Below are 20,932 nucleotides of genomic sequence, written 5' to 3'. Positions count from 1 at the left end.
AGTTCCCTGCCAGGACAGAGTTTATTCCCATGACTGGATATATGCCGTCATTTAAGACTCACTTTAAAAGTCAGCTCTTCAGAGAGTTCTTCCCGGGAGGACTCTGAGGAAAATAACTGAAACATGTTGCCCCGATAATGTGCTGTAGCAGTCACAGGTTTTGGAAAGTTTCAGTTTTGGAAATCTCTTTTAATTTACTAAAATTGTAATATCTTCTACCTTAAGAATAGTGTCTTACAGAGAACAAATGACATCAAATGGCCAAAATCTTGCCCATCTCTCCTCTCACCTCAGCCCATCATAAAAGAAGCTGCTATGATGTGGGCAAAGGATATACTAAAGCCTTTCCCCAGCTGGATGAGAACTTGACCTCCCGTTAACACTTCACCTCATTCTCCCAGAAACCAGACACAAATTGCACTGTTACATACGTCAGTGTTCAACATTGCTTATTAAAAACAATATTTACAAAGACTGCGGATTAGTAAATTGCATTTAGATTCAGGAGGATCTGTAAATGGGTACTCAGACAGGGTAGTCAGTCAAATGGGTAGGGCCTGCCTGAGGCTGGCGGCTTTTGTAACTCTGCATATCCTTTGTGGAGATGTTGACTCCAAGATGTGTTAGTTTGCTTGCTGTGCTGTAAGAAAGTACTATAATTTATTTTCTCACAGCTCTGGAGGCCAGAAGTCTAAGATCATGATGTTGAAAAGGTTATTTCTTCTGAAGCCTCTGTCCTTGGCATCTAGATAGCTGTCTTCTCCTCCTTGTGTTTTTACATGATCTTTGTGTGTTTGTGTGTGTGTGTGTCCTAATCTCTTCTTTAAAAATGCTAGTCATAGCTGGGTGTTGTGGCTCACGCCTATAATCCCGGCACTTTGGGAGGCCAAGGCAGGCAGATCACCTGAGGTCTGGAGTTCGAGACAAGATTGGCCAACATAGTGAAACCTCATCTCTACTAAAAATACAAAATTAGCCGGGCATGGTGGCGAGTGCCTGTAGTCCCAGCTACCTGAGAGGCTGAGGCAGGAGAATCACTGGAACCCAGGAGGCAGAGGTTGCAGTGAGCCGAGATCGCACCACTGTGCTCCAGCCCAGGCGACAGAGTGAGACTCTGTCTCAAAAACAAAACAAACAAAAAACACAAAAAAGCAAACAAAAAACAATGCTAGTTATATTGAATTAGGGTCCATCCACATGACCTCACCCTACCTTAATTATTCTTTAAAGGCCCTATCTACAAATACAGTCACATTCTGAGGTACTGGGGATTCTGAGGTCTTTACCATACAAGTTTTGGGGATACAGCTCTGCCCATAAAACTAGACCTACAGACATACTGGCTGCTTTGAGATGTGATGCTTCTAAGCCAGAATATCTGATACCACCCAATGGAGTGTTGCTTCTGAGCTGGGCTACATGGATGGCTACAAAACTTTTGGGGCTGAGCAGGAACTTCCAATACTGCCCTGTTCAGAAGCTTTGTTTCCTGTCCTACATCTTTTTTGCTTTGAGAAAGTATCTCACTTTGACAGCCAGGCTGGAGTGCATTGGTGTAACCTCGGCTCACTGCAACGTGTGCCTTCCAGGCTCAAGCAATCCTCCCACATAGCTGGGACCACAGACACGTGCCACCACCCGGCTAATTTTTTTTTTTTTTTTGTATTTTTGATAGAGACGAAGTTTCACCATGTTGCCTGGGCTGCTCTCGAACTCCTGAGCTCAACCGATCCCCCTGCCTCAGCCTCCCAAAGTGCTGGGATTATAGGCATAAGCCACCGCACCTAGCCTCCTGCCCTACATCTTTTGAGTTGACTGGTGCCTAGCAGTGTTGTTCATGAAATACCTTCCATTAGAACTGTTATGTTCTTCAAGTCATTAAGAGGAACTGAATAACCTGTATGTACTCATACATTACCCTTCCTGAAAACATTCTCCCTCCCAGTTTATGTCACGTGAAATTATATTTTTATGATACTATTTAATTCCTGCAATAGTCACTAAAAAGTGGGCTACCATTTTATATAATGTATATTCTTTTTAGGATATTATAGGTCCTTAAAGCAGAATGAAAAAAAAATCACTCATGTGAATATTCAGCCATAACCTTCACTTTGAAAATCTGAGGTTATGCTTCTTCCGTGAGGTTATAACTCTGAAAAATCTGAAGTCCAAACACTGACTTTGATCTTTACGGCAACAGCATGCTTTGGCTATGAGTTGTTGTTGTGGTTGTCGTTTCCTTTAATTAATTCACCTTTACCACATAAACACCAAGTTAATTGTTTATGTCTTAATAAATGATGAGAGATAAACTGGGGCAAGGCCTGGTACTAATGTGTGTTATTGCTTTTCATTATTTGACGATAAGAAAAAGGAAAAGAATCTGAAGAATAAAGGAATAGAAAAGTTATTTAATAATCACCATGCACATATGTAAAATATAGTTTAACTGGTAGGCAGAAATGCCTCATTTTCAGTGCATGTAGTAGTCCATTTTCATACTGCTATAAACAATTTCCCAGCAGGGCGTGGTGTCTCATGCCTGTAATCCCAGCAATTTGGAAGACCAAGGTGGACAGATCCTGACTTGAGGTCAGGAGTTCAAAACCAGCCTGGCCAACATGGTGCAAGCCCCTCTGTACAAAAAATAGAAAAATTAGCCGGGTTTGGTGGAATGCCGGTAGTCCCAGCTATTCTGGAGGTTGAGGCACCAGAATAACTTGAACTCGGAAAGCGGAGGAGGTTGCAGTGAGCACAGATCACACCACTACACTCTAGACTGGGTGACAGAGCGAGACTCTGTCTCAAAAAAAAAAAAAAAAAAACCACCAAAGAAACTTCCAGGGACTGGGTAATTTATAAAGGGAAGAGGTTTAACTGACTCACAGTTCCATATGGCTGGGGAAGACTCAGGAAACTTACAATCATGGCGAAAGGTGAAGGGGAGACAGGCAACACCTTCACAAGGTGGCAGGAGAGAGAATGACCGAAGGAGGCATTGTTAAAAACTTATAAAGCCATCAGATCTCATGATAACTCACTCACTATCATGAGAACAGCATGGGGAAACTGCCCCCATGATCCAGTTACCTCCATCTGATCTCTCCCTTGACACGTGGGGATTATTACAATTCAAGATGAGATTTTGGGTGGAGACACAGCCAAACCATATCAGTGCAGTTATATCAGGAAGACAGAGTAACTAGAGGTATGAATGCAGGCATGGGAGCTGCCAACTTAGATTGTGGAATGTGGGGGAAGAGGTGCAGATGATGGAGGCTGACTTCCTGCATTCCAAGTCCTGCTTTGTCATTCACAGTAATGTGATATTGGTTGAGGTACTTATCAACTCCAACTCTCAGTTTTCCTTTCTGTCAAATGAAGACAATAGAATAAAGAGTTGTTGTGATGACCAAATAATATAATGCCTGCAAAGCTGTTCCTCAGACTCCTTAAATATAGTCATTATTCTTACCACGACTTCTGAAATTAAACCTCTGAAAAGCTTGTGATTATTATCAGAGAGGGTGTTGTAGCACAAAACTACACATTCTGTGTTTTAGTATCTCCTAAATTAATGGACATTTCTCTTTCACAAATCAATTGCCCTTTCTAGCCCCAACATTTAGTTACATCACAATAACTAAAATCTTAGTTGGATTTTGGTGATGAGATTGCCATATGAGTTGTGTATGTATTAGTCAAAATGACTAATATCTGCTTAGGTATCTTTCTATCCTGAAATATTATCAAGGCCTTTAAAAAAAACCCAAAAGTGAAACTTAAAGCTCTGTTCTATCTTCCAACATCAAACACAAAGTATTAAAAAAAGAGAAGTCAGAGTTATTGCAATATATCAAAGAAAGTGTCAAACTACATCACTATGACATTTATTTTTATATAGTTGAAGCATCTTACCCAAAAGATTAGGCTTCTATCATTAACCACAGATTATAGAAATGAAAGAGACCTTAGAAGTTGTCTAAAATAACTTTCAGCTGTGGCAGGAATCTCTTTAAACATCACAATAGGTGAAGCCTCTGGTTGAATATCTCTGGTAACAGTCCTCTTCTTCCTCCAGCTAACGTTAGACTGGGGCTCTCAGACTGGGAGACTGTTCTCTCTTAGGGCAAATCCCAGCTACTTGGGTCTTTAGAATCCAATCTCATTGTTTACTTCTTCAGTCCTACACGACAAGTCAACTACTTCTTCCCATTTACTTATCCTCCAAGTATTAGGTTCAAGCTGGGGCTAGGAATAACATACCAAGAAAACACTGATGCAATTCCCAAACATAAACTAACTTAAGAGAGGAACATTTTCACTGATTTCTGAAGTTTATACATGCCATTCTGTTTGCTAAATTGTTATCCTCAAAGAATATTTCAAGAGATTTCATCAGTTCATGATGTTTGGGGTATGATATACTATCATATCCTTAGTACAAAAGTGTAGTTTTACACATGTTTAAAAACATCACAAAAATTACATGACATCGAAAATATTTGTAGGCATAACTAGGTTTACTATTGATGCAGCTGATATGTCTCTTTATGTTTTGGCCTGTAATTGACAAGGTAAAAGATAAGAGGCATCCTCATCTTCTTGACCGTCACCATCACCATTACCATCATCACCATCATCATTATTATGTCACCATCACCATTACCATCATCACCATCACCAGCTTCATCAACATCACCATCACCAGCATCGCCATTGTTACCACCACCACCACCACCTCCACCATCATTACCATATCACCATCACCATCATCACCATCACCATCTTGATCAACATTACCAACACTAGCATCACCATTGTTACCACCACCAGCACCATCATCATCATCATCCGCACTGGATAGTCTCAAGTGTCTATATGCCAATCTATGTATAAAGGAAACAGTTAAATAAATTTTAAAAACTTTAGGCTGAGGCAGGAGAATCTCTTGAACTTGGGAGATGGAGATTACAGTGAGCAGAGATTTTGCCACTGCACTCCAGCCTGGCAACAGAGCAAGACTCCTTCTCAAAAAACAAAACAAAACAAAACAAAACAAACAAAAAACTTTAGCAAGACCATCTTGATATTTGGAGCTTTTAGTCTTTTTAATACATCTTCAAATGGTACCTGGAAACTTTTCGTGGATTTCACCAAATTAAAAATAAGGCTCAAAGGCTTAAAACTAATTAGGGTTGGCTTGTATATGGCAGACACTTTCCAGACCGTTGCTAATAGAGTTCTCACCAAATGTGAAAAAAATATATTTCAGAAAGTATAAGGAGGTATTTACTTAAAAAGCACCAATAAAACAGAATCATTGGATTTGGCCTCAGAAATGTTTCTTTTTTTTTTTTTTTTTTTTGAGACGGAGTCTCGCTCTGTTGCCCAGGCCGGACTGCGGACTGCAGTGGCGCAATCTCGGCTCACTGCAAGCTCCGCTTCCCGGGTTCACGCCATTCTCCTGCCTCAGCCTCCCGAGTAGCTGGGACTACAGGCGCCCGCCACCGCGCCCGGCTAATTTTTTTGTATTTTTAGTAGAGACGGGGTTTCACCTTGTTAGCCAGGATGGTCTCGATCTCCTGACCTCATGATCCACCCGCCTCGGCCTCCCAAAGTGCTGGGATTACAGGCGTGAGCCACCGCGCCCGGCCAGAAATGTTTCTTATTTCATATTTTATGTCACAACAGCAACTTGAAAACCTTACTAAAAATAAATATAATTTTTGCTCCATTTACAGGCCACATATGGTCATATATAGTTATTTCTACATTTGATAATAATTTTATTACCAAACTGAATTCTTCATATTTACATGGATTTTATCATAGATTTTATAATGACTCATTACAATTACTTCTTTGCTCTAAGCAGGTAAGCAACAACTTTCGCTGAATTTTGTTTTAACAAGACTTCTTTTGGTTGGAGTGTGCTATACATGACACAACATTTTTGCCCATATGCATACCATCTTCTAAATTATTATACATGCCTTTGGTACTCAGAAGTCTTGTGGGCCTGGTTAAACCTCATTCAAGACAACCAACAGCTAATGGGTCCCCGTACCTAAAAATAGTCTTTCTTAATGAATTCTGCATATAGAATCAACTAAGAAGATCTTTACAAATATCATTGCACTACTCCCCCAAATTCTGATTTAATATATTTGAAATGGGGACTATGTACCAGGAGGTTTTAAAAGTTTGTCAGGTAATTATACAGCCAGAATTGAGAACAACTTATGTAATCCTTTGAAGATTAACTTTAGAGACAAGAAAAATGAGGTACAACGAGATAGAATATCTTTCCCTGGGACACAAACTATTGGTAGAGCCATGTCTGGAACCCAGGAGTTCTGATTCCTACTCCAATGCTCTGTTCAGAATGGCTTGTCCCCTTCTCTAACATGGGGAAGTAAATACAGAGACCCAGTGTACTACAATCAAACATCTAACAAACCATGATAGAGGCATGAATTGCATAAATTGAGGTAATTCACCTTATTTCTATTCAAATGTAAAAAATTAATGTAGATTATGTACAAATTCAACAAATGTGAACATGTTTGAAATAACGCACCATCTTGGAGGCAAAGAAAGATATAAACAAGCAATTGGTTTGTAAAAGCTCAGATTTTAAGGAAGATCAACATCAATACTTGCTTTGTAGGACACAATAAAAACACTGGTAGGAAGGTGAATCTGATTATATCAAAATAGATGTATATTGATAATACGAATTATTTACTATGACCTTTATTTCAGATCAGATGATTTGGCTTATTCTTCTTATGTGTTTGTTTACCAAGCTTTAATTGCTAGGAGAATATTATTTATTGATGGGAGAATATATTTAATAACATCATATACAATTTTTTTTTTTTTGAGACAGAGTCTTGCTCTGTCACCCAGGCTGGAGTGCAGCAATGTGATCTCGGCTCACTGCAACCTCCGCCTCCTGGGTTCAAGCGATTCTCCTGCCTCAGCCTCCAGAGTATCTGGGATTACAGGCATGCGCCACCACGCCTGGCTACTTATTGTATTTTTTTAGTAGAGACGGGGTTTCACCATGTCTCAAACTCCTCACCTCGTGATCCACCTGCCTCAGCCTCCCAAAGTGCTGGGATTACAGGCGTGAGCCTCCATGCCCGGACAAAAATGTCATATATAATTTTTAAAGGTAATTTTCACCTTTTACCATAATCCTCTATTTTCATGCTCAAGCCATATTACGAACACATAATATTTGCATTTATAAGGAAAATGTATTTTGGGTCTTTTATGATGACATGAGACTGTTTATTTAATTTTGTTTATCTTATTCTAGTTTGTGAATTTTTAACAGAATTTATTTTTTTAATGCAGTGGATTCTTGTTTGTATACATGCTATTTTTTTTCTCCTTCTCTGAAGCTTTATGTTATTCTTGCATCCCACTGATCTACCTGCAGTTGCATGTAACACACTGATCACTCCTATGAAGCAGCATGTGCTCATTAGCAATAAGAAAACTAGTGGAATATATCTGTGTTGGCAACATTTTTCTTGACAATGATTTATTTTCATAAGAGATTCAAAAAATGAGTATCACTAGAAGATGATGTTTAAGTATGTGTGCCCATGGGTATTTGAATTTTTTTCTTTTATACATTAGTATCACAATTAATACCCTTGATATACTTTCAGGCACCAGGATTCCAATTCCCATTCATAATATACATCTCATAAAATAGTAAAACAGTGCTACCATTCTATACTTAAATTATGTTTGTAAAGGAAATATATTTGCATTTTTAACTTGCCACATGGGTCATTCTCTCAATCACAAAATTACATAGTAAGTCATTGAATGTGTTTCTCTCCCAAAGACACTGATAAGTCTTTTGAGAACAGCTATGATGTGGTGGGAAAAGAAGAGGAGTTGGAATTAAAATAAAATAGTGGTTTCTGCTTCTAGTGTACTTCTTATTAACTGTGTGGCAACGGACAATTAACTTTCTACTTCTCTGAGTTTCAGTTTCCACTTTAATAAAGTTGTAAGAGCTATTCCTTGATGATAGATTTATCTATCATCTCATAATATCGTAATTGGTTGCTGGGGGAATTAACTGAGAGAAAGTATATAAAATATACAGTGGCCAGTAAAATCCAGTACAAATTAAGCATAAAATAAAGATGGCACAATCAATGAAGAGATAATCAAAGGTTACAGAAAACTTAGAAACACAAATCATTAATGCCTTAAAATGTTAAAGTTGTTTGGAATTGTATTTTGAAAAACTCTGAAGACATATAGTCCAGATTTTCCTTAACCTCTTTGGAATCCTCTTTGGCAGCAAAAGCTAGACTGCACAGGTTGATAAGGCGAGCACCTGAATATTAATTAATCCTCTACATGAAGCTCAATATAAGTCATGTTCCTTGATGACCTATCAATATAAACTAGAGCATATGTATTTCATCTTTTCCTGGAAGATGAATTCTGGAAGAGCCTAACTAATAATATAGCAAACATTTACATAACACTCTACGGTTTACAGAACAACTACACAGTAATTATGAGAAGATTGAAAACTCAATCATTTGGAAACCTATAAATATTCCTAGCCATTTCTCCAAGTACTTGAACAAAATTTGATTGTTGGGACATTAACTGAAAATAGAAATACCTAGCTCATCTATTTTGCAGGGGACTGAGGATCAAACGAGAAAAAATCTATTATTAGTATAGTAATAAGGGTAAGGTAATGCTCCATATTTGTATTGAGTTCTAGCTTTTGATAGTAAACTTGAAAAGTAGTAAACTTGAAAAGGTGACTAATAAAGTATATTAAAATCTTTAATTAAAAACCATAATTTTCAATTTCAGATGGTTTTTACTTTCTGGATTATGAACACTTTTTTTAAAAAATCCATAAAATACATCCTAATGAAAATTTACAGTTATTTCTATTTATCTTAAGTATGACTATATCTGAGATTTAGTCCTATAAATATTTTGATTAAATGTATAAGCAAATAATTTTAGAGATGGGAACATCTAAATAGTGGATTACCCCACTAACTTTATTTTTACCATTCATCGTATCTCATAGCTCCAGGTGGTCTGTTTTTTGTTTGAAACAGAAATTCAAAAGCAATGAACACGAGTAAAAATACTTTTATACTTCTCAAGAGTAAGTCAGTCCCATGTCAAAAGTTATTCATTGGCCATATGCTCATCATCTTGTTTTATGCTCCAGATAATCAACTCCCTGTTGATCCTTCACTATCACTAGATCCTCTCGTAAACTTCCATTCCCTGAAGTTCCTTATGCTGCATAAAGTTAAATTCTGTACTCAATTTCAGTGAGTGAAATTCTGTCTAATAATTAATATGAGTAGATCAGGCATATATATGTGATTTTTGTAACTGAAAAAAATTACTCCTATATTTTCTAATTTATACCCTATGTTTTTTAAATAGACACGTGTACCTGTGTCTGTTTGTTTTTGTGTGTGTGCCTGTATGTTGTTTGCCTTTAACGAACCATCTTTGGAATTTTTTAAAATAAGCAATTTCCATTGAGGCTTACATTTCTGAATTTATACCTACAGATGGCTCTCAACAGATGCTTGTTAACCTGGAAGATTTTGCTTGATTGGTTTTCAAAGTTTAACGTAAAGAAACCTTTCCTTTCTATGATCTGTACATAATAAATACATGAGTATACTTCCTAGAAATATACAAGCAACTAATATGCAAAGTGTTGAAGACTTGTAGGGAAATAAGAAACTTTAGGTTACTTTGAAGAAATCGTTTCTGAGAAAAGGAACTATAATTCAAGCTTTGTTAAATACCATTTGCTTGTTTCTTTAGAACCTTATCTAACATAGATTACTTTTATTTACCTACTATCTACACAGTAGGATGAAGGTAAACTTTGATTTACAGAGTTATCTATGTTTGTACAGTATATCATAAAAATAATGGAAAGAATCACAGGATAAAGTAATAAACCATAGTTGCTATGTATATCTAAAAATGAGGCATTTGGAATATAAAAATATGGTAAATGTTAATTGACTTTGTTGCACGTAAGGCTAGAGAGGACAGAGTAATGTCTAAAAAGTTAAGAAATTTTGAGAAACATTTCTTATAATTATATAAAATTATAAATGCATTTGAATAGATCCAAATAAATAATCCTGAAATGTATATGAAATCTACAATGTTAGTAAAGTCAGACTGTGCAGATAGTTCACCAGGGCAAGGTGGGAAATGTACATAAAACTTTCACCAGGACATTTTCACTAGAAGTGATTTATCTGGCTCTGTGCTGCCAGACATGTCTTCTAAATGGCATGACTACTTTATTCTCCATGGTCACCTATTGCAGTATTGCACAAAATAGGGTGTTCAACATTGATTATCTTTAATTTGTTCCTGGATATAGAGTTTTGTCTAAAGCCAGCAGAATTTAAACATGGTCGTGCTTAATTACTCAGCATAGCTTAAAAACTCATTCTTGACATCTCAATATTTACTAATTCCTTTTGCAGGATTATGTCAGAAGTCTGAAAAGCTGATGTACTTGATTACTTGTTAGCCACTGCTTTTAAACATCTTAAATGAAAAGAAAAACAGCCAGAAAATATATTCAAATGAGAATGCAAAATTATCTATAGCCACAAGATCTTTTTAAATTAATCTTTCTGCCTTGTGATCTTGTTTGAAACTTGACATTTTTCTCTCTCTCTGCAGCTATTTTTCTCTTTTTCCTAGTGAATGACCATGTTTGGAGGTTTCCTCGTGACCCCCTTAGACTACTGACATTACTTTATTTTATAAATGAGTGAATAAATAAATAAATGTCCCCTCTTTTATTCTTTATTTAATAGTTTTTTCAGAGATGTACCAGGAAGCAATGATACTGTAATATCCTCCTTACATTAATGCTCTAGAAGTTTCTGGCATCCTATGAAGGTCCATAGTTCTACTGTCATCCCATTACTGCTAATTTCACAGATAATATTGATTTCCCTTTAAGCAATCAGTCTAACCACTTGGCTCTTCAGTTTTGTCATCTTATCTCAAGCAATCCTCTCCCACTGTGTCCCTTCCTTCCATACCCAGAGTGGCATGCTAGATATTGTCTCCATGGAAAGCGTCACAAATTCTAACACCACTCTCTGATCATAGTATAATACATTTTACTACAAAGTTTTATTTTAAAATTATTAAGTAGAGTTACAAATATGTTCGTATTTTCTCCCAACTATGGTATATCTTCTTGTTACATTGTACGACTTCGTTGATGCTCTTATCCCTAGTGCCCATGAACAAACTTAATCAAGTTCTGCTGTGCCCTGTTTTCCCACTTCACTTTTACCACTTATCTATTATTTTAACTCCTTGAATTAGTCATGAGTTTTCTTGTATTCACAGATATTTACATACTATTTCTTTTTTCTAGAACATCTTTGCCTCAATCTTTACTGACTTGTCGTTACAAGTGCTACACAAAGTCAAGCATAGCACTCTGATCATATTCTGGTATCCTTCCAACTCACTTGCTAAGCAATCACATTTATCTATTATTTAAACTGATGATTACCAGCTTCTATGGGGCATCCTACATTACCCGTCAGTGTTACCTACTTTTACCAGTTAACATGTGCTCTTAGTTTCCCTTAATACCTATTATAAACTTTTCTTGACTCTTCTAAGATCTTGGATCTAACCTTCCTATTATATACTTTTCTTGACTCTTCTAAGATCTTGGATCTAATCTCCCTACCCTTATTCTCATTGAATGATGTTGCTTCATTCCATCAGCAAAATGGTTTCTCTGTACTGCCAATGAGTATTCACCACCAACCACACTGCTTATAATTGCCCTCTCTTTCTTTCCTCCACTAAAACAAAGCCTACATTTCTTCTGTATTATTTTTCCAAAATATATTCTAATTTTGGAAAAACCATGCTGAAGTTTCAGAGATGAAGGGTCATGATTCCTGTAACTTATTTCCAAGTGGATTAAGAAAAAATATACACATATACATAAAGGTATTCATATACATGCACATCTATATAAATCAAATGTGGCAAAATGCAACCAATTAGTGAATATCTATGGTGGTTACATAAGAGACCACTGCTCTATGTTTTCATCTATTCTCAATTTGAAAAATTTCAAACTAAAATTAAAAATAGAAAAAAACAGCAGAAGCATCCCTCTTTGTGACAAAAGCCTGGCTTTCCATATTGTCTCTAAATCTTCCTTTATCAAAGATTCAAGGATGTCCCTCCATTGATTATTACATCTTTCACCTGCATTTAAACATACCTCTCAATACTAGATCCTTCCCCTTAATGTTCAAACGTGCATTAAGGCATTATATATATACATGTGTATGTGTGTGAGTGTGTGTGTGTGTATGTGTGTGTGTGTGTGTGTCTATATATATATATAATCTCCAATACTTTGAACAAGCTCTAAAGCTTTTAAAAATACCACTCCCCAGCCTATGTGCCCTCTGTTTCTTTATATATATGTATATATATGCATACCTATTTATGACTATACATGTATTTATAGTATATAAATTTATATATCCCTATAATAGGTATATACACATATATATGAAGTTTGTATTAGTGTTTCTAATCCTCTTCGGGACCACATTTCTCTTAGCTGAAGCAGTTGCTAATGCCACCCATTTTCTTTTCCATTCTCTTAGTTTTTTCGAATGAAACAAAACTTTTCTTGCTACATGGGCTGTCAAAGTTACCTACATTTACCAGTTAACATGTGCTCTTAGTTTCCTTCAATAACTATTATACACATTTCTTCACTATTCTAAGATCTTCTAAGGCCCACAGTTGGCAAATCCAATGGACTTTTATGTGACTCCACAGCTGCATTCAAATTAACAGATGTGTTGAAGCCTGTTTATGCTCCTGGGCCCTATGCTATCGCTCTCTGCTATTTTTTTTTTTCTTTCAGTCCTCTCAGATTATGACTTTTCAGCAATTTTCTTGATTTTCTTTTGGCTTACTACTATATGATAGGTATATTCATCCATGTCCATAACTTGGAATTTCATGCAGGAGTTAACAACATTCACTCTAATATACCTAGTAACAGCCCTCTCCCAAAGGCCACACACGCACACGCACACACACTTATATTTATACACACACACACAACTGCCTATTGATGTATCTTTCAGCACATCTCACAAATATCTCCATGAAGAGAACATCTGTTATCCAAGCCTTCCCCTCCTCCAGTAAATCATTTCTCCCTCAGTGGTATCTTTACTCATCCAGCTGCTAATAACTCACATTGTGGCATCTACTGTGACAACTCCAGTCCATCACAAAGGTCAATGGAGTTCATTTCTAACCTCTACCCATCACTTCTGCCAGCTTCTTAGACCAATCACCATCATTTCTCACCTGTATTACTGCAAATCTCTTCACTGTCTCCTTGCATGTTGTCTTTCCTTCCTCCAATCTACTTTGCACACAAAAGCTAGGGAGATTTTATTTCAACGCATGTATGATTATATTACTTCCTCCCTACCACCCTTCAGCATCTGGCCTTTGACTTTAGGTTAAAATCTAAAGTTCTTAACACATACTACATGATCTGGAGTGATTTTGACCTCACTTAACAAAACTCCAGCCTTGTTCATTATGCTCCAGGCACTGAAACTTCCTTTAAGTTCCTTCAATATGGGAAAGTTTTCAACCCAAAGGTCATAACATGCTGTTCCCACTTTTTAGAAGATTCTCCTCTCTACACTTGACTCCTACTCATGTTTGAAATGTCAGCTTAAGCATCACATCCTCAGAGAAGACTACCTTGATCTTTCATCATGAATGAAACTTTTCTAGTATTATTCTCTGAGTATCTATTCTTTCAAAACATCTAATACATCTTTGTAATTGTGTGTTTATTTGTACGATTATTTCTTTAATGTGTGCCTTTTTACATATCTGCATGTCCTCAAAGGGCTTGGACAATAACCGATTTGCTCACCATTAACCTTCCAGTGCCTAGATACAGTAGGTGCCAGGGATCATCTCATACATTGTACCAGTTGTTCAGTGAAAAGAGTATCTCTTCAAGAGGGTGAATGATGGTTGAATTCCAGTATATGCTCTGTTTGCAGGCACTGTTCCCTGCTGCAAACTGTGTCTTCCTGGAGTTGCGCCTTAATCTAGCTTCCACAAAGTTACCACCTGGACAAAAGCTGGCCCTGATAGGTACTCAACAAATGGTGGCTAAATAAAAAATGAACTTCTATGGCAATTTCCAAAAATAACTGCTTTCTAACCTAAATTGGGTTTTAAGAATCTTTTTTTGTTTTAAAACAACTACTTGAATAGTTTACTGAAGGTGATCAAATAATTTCAGTTGCATTCACATGGTCATTCATATTCCTGTACATTTTTTCTTATTTGTAGAATTTTTAATAGCATATAAAGCTAAATTCTTTGTCTGATTTAGAAATAATTCTATGTTTCATAGCTTTTGCACAGAAAAAAACTTCCATTGAAAAAAATTGCTCATAAAATAGTTAATTGCCCATTTGACACATTACCCCATCTAATCAAGTTATCTACTTGGCACAAATTAGACTTCATAAATTCTATTATATAAATGGACCCTGTTTAACTTTGCCACTTGGTCTGGGCATCTGTCTCATAAAATTCTGTTCATGATCATGAGAATAAGAGAAAGTCTCTGTTGGATCAGTGACTGTCAATTAAAAATACAGCTCATAATATATCCCTCACTACCAGATTGGCAGCACTATTATATTTAAATAAAAGTACAGTAATACATCATCACTTAACATAGCATAAAACTACAGTTTGATATGGAAAAGTCAGGGAAAAGTTTGCTAGCTGTTTTTTTTTTTAATGAGAATAAAATCTGAGTAACCAGGGGAAAATTATGTACTGCGGGAAAGTAGTTCAGCACAAAGGGAAGGGGACTGCATTTGCTTCACTTATATTCCAAAACCCAGATTTTTATCTTTGTTAGAAATTTCTTGAAAAAAATTTCATGACACATAAATTGAGGGGAAGTGCTGCCACGTAAAGATATCAAATATTTGATAGTTATATATCCTAGCAACAGATTTTTAATTGCCTAGGAAAGTGAGCCTAGAGAGGGCCATCTGCTGGTGCTGATTACTTTCTCAGTAGAACCATGCACCTGAGGTGAATCAAATCTGGCCAACAGCATATTGAGGTCAATTTTAAATGAACTTCAGTTTTTCCTAGATGAACCTGAGGTTGCCACAAATGGCCAAGATCATTCCTCCATCTGTTTCTGGTGAAAGTTTGCTGTTCACTGTGGTTGGGACGCAACATGAATCATTTACTAGCAAAACATCATGCTGCAGAGGCCACAATATGCTCAATTAATTTAATGTACCTGAGGAGAAGAACTAGCAAACATAGCTTAGGATCTGATAGCATGTTGATGCAACAATCTAATCATAAAAAACATTTAAAATCTTGTGAGATGCTTTTGGGACAATGAAACTAGATTTAGAAAATTTTTAGAAGATACCTTTTTAAAAGATGAAATGTAGGTTCTTCGTACTAAAAATCAAACCCATCTTTAAAATATCGTTCCTAGTAATAAAAGTATTTTGAATACAAATCAGCTTTATGATAATGGCACTTAAGAGTGAGTCTATGAGAATGGACATACTCTCTGCAATTGATTACAGGGAAACAAGTATCTTGAGGTAAATTGACTTGTCTTCTAACCTTGTATTCATAAATAAATTACTATAACTTTAAAATGCTACTCTTCAGCACACCATGACATTTACTAACAAATATTTAACCATTGGTGTAGGCTGCCTCCCAGAATGAAGAAACAGATTTAGGAAATCAAAAGGAAGATAGAGTGCAGGAAAGAAAAAGTGTGGAGAAAATAATTAGAAAGAGGTAGGACTCACAGTTTGAAATGCATTCTATTTCATAATGCCAGTAATAAAAACAAATCCTAGTCACCACTGAATCATTTGTAGGCTGCATTGCTCCTTCTTCTGAGACTCGATATAGTTTTCTATCTTGCTGTAGGCACATTACCTACAGATAAGCAGTGAGGGTAACTATTGTCTTTCTACTCTTTCAAATTAAAGTTTAGCTGTGATAATTTTCAATTGCTGGAATATGCAATGTTGGGAAGAAATAGAAGATATGTAGGCTGGGGAGTTAGTTATAATAGGAAAGTTATAATAACTAACTAAAAATCAAACCCATCTTATAAATATTGTTCCTAGTAATTAAAAGTGTTTTGAACACAAAGCAGCTTTATGATAATGGCACTTAACAGTGAGTCTATGGGAATGGACATACTCTCTCCAGCTGATTACAGGAAAACAAGTATATAATAAGCATATATATAACAAGTATATAATGGTTAGTTGTAATAGGAAACTTCAGAGCTTGTCCAATTCCAGATCATGATCTTTAAAGCTACCTAGAAAAGCTTCCATCCTTCCCAATGAGATCAACTGAGGCTTCCCCCGCACCCCATGGCACACACTTCCTAAAGTGTCCTTTCTTTTTTATGTGTATCAGTCATGACATTTAAGGGTCATGGCTCCCCAACTTGATTGTGTTTTCCTAGAAGATACAAATAATTGCCTATCTCTCATTTCCATGTCGTTTCACAGTTAATAAACTACAGAGTGGAGTTATGGAAAGATAAAGAGAAGTACAATATACTATATATATATAGTATGTATATATATATATATATATATATATATTATATATATATGTATATTTAAAGTCAAATATCTGCCTAGGTGGAAAAAGCATTTGATCTAAACGCTCTACAGTTTCCTGTAGAAAACATTTTCAGTGTGGAATCAAATCAAAATCACGCAGAAAATGTTTAAATCCATAAAATTTTAAAAAGATAGTTTTTTCCTCAGGCATTTCAAAGGTGAAAGATTCTCCCCCGGGGCCTGAAAGCTTAAGGGAATGGATATCTCCTCCCTCCTCAGGCCCAGCCCCAAGGCTCAAGGCCACTTGCCCCAGGAAGATAGCAGAAACAGGAAGAAAGCTGGCCGAGAGACACATACCCGCTGAAGATCGAAAAGGAAGCTGTCAAGGTACTACGTAGCAGTCACTTCAGACTCGGACACTTCCTGTTTACAGAGGACTATAAAACCCCTGCCCCGTCCTCACTTGACGCTGACGCCATTTTAGGCCTCAGCCCATCTGCACCCAGGCGCTCGTTAAAACAGCCTGTAGCTCCACACCGCCTCCTGTTGTCTGTTGGCACGTTCTCGGGGTTCCAACCGATACAAGAGCCTTGCAAAAGGTAAAAATTATCTTTTGAAGTATGTAAATATTAATTTGGTAAACTTATATGATCACATGTCTGGTTGGGGCTTGCTATTTCATTTAAAAAGCTTACTACTAGATAAGAGCAAAAGGAGAATGGAAAGTAAGAAAGGTTAGAAAATGGAGTAGTGTGGTCAGAATTCTATTTACATTTTATAGTACAGAATTCAAAAAATAAGCGAAGAGTAAAATATCTCAGTAATCTAAACTCTGATCTAATGAGTAATATTAATTTACTTGTCAGAATTACATAATAGGTAAAGATGATTATTAAATACTGCTTGAACATTAAAATATACTTAAACATTCATTCCATAAATAGTAACTAATATTGGCCAACATTTCATAATGCTAGTTTGCATTTTTAAGCTAGTGGCATTAAAATCTGGTAGAAAATATGCTGTAGATATAGATGATTATGTATTGTCTTAAGGTCTTTTCAAGTTACTATAACAAAATGCCATAAACTCAGTAGCTTGTAAACAACAAAATGTTTTTTTCACAGTCAGTTCTGAAGGCTGAACCCCAAATTAAGCTGCTGTGTGATCTGATGTCTGGTGAGGGCTTCTTCTTTCGTTCACGGACCTCACCTTCTCACTGTATCCTCACTTGGTGGAAGCAATGAACAAGCTCCCCGGGCCTATTTTAAAAGGGTACGATGGCCGGGCGCGGTGGCTCACGCCTGTAATGCCAGCACTTTGGAAGCCTGAGGCGGGTGGATCACTTGAAGTCTGGAGTTCAAGACCAGGCTGGCCAACATGGTGAAACCCAGTCTCTACTAAAAATACAAAACTTAGCTGGGCGTGGTGGCAGGCTCCTGTAATCCCAACTACTCAGGAGCCTGAGACAGCAGAATCGCTTGAACCTAGGAGGCGGAGGTTGCAGTGAGCCAAGATTGTGCCACTGCACTCCAGCCTGGACAACAGAGCGAGACTACGTCTCAAAAAAAAAAAAAAGGATACGATTTCCTTATTAATTTAATGACCTAATTACTTTCCCAAAGGCCCTACCTCCTGATATCATCACCATGGGTGTTAGGATTTTGACATATTAATTTTAGGGGCACATAAACTTTCAGACTACAGCCATGCACTCAGAATTATATCAAACATTTACTGACTTAGAGAGAGAAATAATTTTCAAAAAATGTTTCTTCCTCAAGATTCCAGCTTTCCACCAGATCTTTCACAGCTGTATGATATTTCATGTTGTATGTGCCTGGAGAATGGTACTTGCAGTCTCCTTGCTTGGTATTACCGAAGTATGCCTGCCAGTTTTCAGTACTGACTACGTGAGAGGAAGCATATTCATGTACCATGGCTTTGAGACCCAGCAAAAAGAAAATTTCCTTTTGAGAAGCAAAACACCTCACAAATGAGCAAGTCATCATTCAAAAGATAGTATAAAAAATAGTTTTAAAACGAAGAGCCTGGCACAGTAGCTCAAGCCTGTAATCCCAGCACTTTGGGAGGCTGAGGCAGACGGATCACCTGAGGTCAGGAGTTTGAGACCAATCTGACCAACATGGAGAAGCCCCGTCTCTACTACAAATACAAAATTAGCCGGGCGTGGTGGAGCATGCCTGTAGTCCCAGCTACTTGGGAGGCTGAGGCAGGAGAATCGCTTGAACCCAGGAGGCAGAGGTTGTGGTGAGCGGAGATCGCGCCATTGCACACCAGCCTGGGCAACAAGAGCAAAACTCCATCTCAAACAAACAAACAAACAAACAAAAAACAAAGTCAGGGTTTACTCCCTTTACAGGGTTTCATTTTAGTTATGGAAAACGAAAAAAAAAAAAAACTCATGTGATTTTTTATGTAAAATGAGCATGATTTTTATTTAACACACAAGAAGCAGTGAGTAGTAATTTCCTAATTGTAATAAAGTACTCTGAAAATGAAAAAAAAAAAGAAGAAAAACCTCAAAAACCACAACACAATTGCTTTGTGCCAGATAATAAAGAGATAATCTCCTAACATTAGGTTCAATCTTCTTCAAAATCTTCATTTAAATGTTCCCGGGCAGCCTCAGCCGCCTTTTGGCAACGCCTCCTTGAAAGGTCAAGAGGCCTGGTGGCAGAGTATTGTACTTTGATGAGTCTGCAAGCATTGTTTGATGATTAGGTTTAATTCCTAGGTCATGAAAGATCCTCAGGAGCTTTTTGTCAGCATTTGCTACATCTGAATTCAGTTACTGTGAATGTGTGACCATACGTTTTGTATTGTACAAGATGATTAAATTCACAAATGTATCAGCCTGTATGGTCTGTGAGAACAATATCTAGTAGACAAACGATCAAAGCACCGTGACAAACCAGCGTGGCAATTTATGCAAAATTCAGAGTAAACACATCATTCTAAATTAGATCTTAATAATAGTTTTTATGTAAAATGATTTTAAACGTGGCATTTTAGTAATGCTTGCTCTTCAGTGAGTTAACATTGACTTCATCTTTTTTTGTAACTAAATGAAAACAAAACAGAAGTTGCAAATATTTACTGAATATCTTAAAAACATTAAAAAGATATCTGCATGTTAATTCAAATTAAAATCCCTAATACTTAGGCCCTTGGTTTAGGAATATGATCGACTCCAATTTTTGGTTTGTGACTCCAATTTTGATTCATTTCCAATCATTTTCTTTGAGCACAGAGATGCAATATCATAGTTCGTGTAAAGACTTGTAAGAGGCCTTCTTAAAAGCAATGAGGTAAAACAGTAAGCCCTTTTACTACGAGTTTCCGCTCTTCTTTCCAAAATCTCTTCAGATGTCAAAGCTGTATATTAAAGTTTTAGAATAAAGTCTCCACACAACGATGGAAATGGTCAGCACGTTGTTTAGGGGTTGGTGTCAATAAGCGGATGTGAACTCTAGCTATAACTTGAAGGCAATTTTTATGTATAACTTTAGGAATCCATTTCTGTGTGAACAAATTATAGTGATTTAAAACATCCTTTCACTCATTATAATGTTGTAATTCTTTTATCCTTGCTCCAAGTAATCATTTGACTGCTTCCCCAAGACACTTTATAAAGAGTTGCATTTCCGGTCTGGCACGGTGGCTCACGCCTGTAATCCCAGCACTTTGGGAGGCTGATGCGGGCAGACTGCATGAGGCCAAGAGTTCGAGACCAAACTGGGCAGCATGGCAAAACCCCGCCTCTACAAAAAAATACTAAAGCTAGCTTGTCGTCGTGGTGGGTGCCTGTAATCCCAGCTACTTGGGAGGCTGAGCTGGGAGGAGCACTCCAGCCCAAGAGGCAGAGGTTGCAGTGAGCTGACATCTCACTACTGTACTCCAGCCTCAGCGTCAGAGCTCAACCCTGTCTTAGAAAAAAGAAAGAAAAAATTGCATTTCTGAAACTTCTGAGCTATCTTTTCTTCGTTACTCATTCTTACATAAATGAAAGTAAACTCAAATGATGAAACATCAGTAAGGCAAATGGCTTCTCATTCATGAATGCAGTTGTCTCCAGGGAGAAGCTCACATGTGAGTGTGGGCATGACAGCTATGCAATCACCACAGACAACACCTGGAGAAAGCTCAGTCTA

At 37.0% G+C, this 20,932-nt stretch overlaps 1 protein-coding gene across 4 annotated transcripts in view; it reads right to left on the bottom strand.

Moving 5' to 3' along the window:
• Positions 1 to 20,932, bottom strand: part of GALNTL6 (polypeptide N-acetylgalactosaminyltransferase like 6) — a 1,228,156-nt gene that overhangs the window by 868,223 nt on the left and 339,001 nt on the right. Inside the window, exon 1 of one of the 4 annotated variants that reach the window (XM_011531993.3) lies at positions 17,115 to 17,350. The exons of the other annotated variants lie outside the window; for them this stretch is intronic. The gene's annotated coding sequence lies outside the window, so the exon portion shown is untranslated. Of the gene's footprint in view, positions 1 to 17,114; positions 17,351 to 20,932 lie in introns of those variants that run through there. 4 annotated transcript variants of the gene reach the window in all.

This window comes from Homo sapiens, chromosome 4 (genome assembly GCF_000001405.40).
Source record: "Homo sapiens chromosome 4, GRCh38.p14 Primary Assembly".
In the NCBI taxonomy this organism is placed as follows: domain Eukaryota; kingdom Metazoa; phylum Chordata; class Mammalia; order Primates; family Hominidae; genus Homo; species Homo sapiens.
Note: the sequence above shows the minus strand (reverse complement) of the source record. Positions and strands in the feature narration are given on the sequence as shown.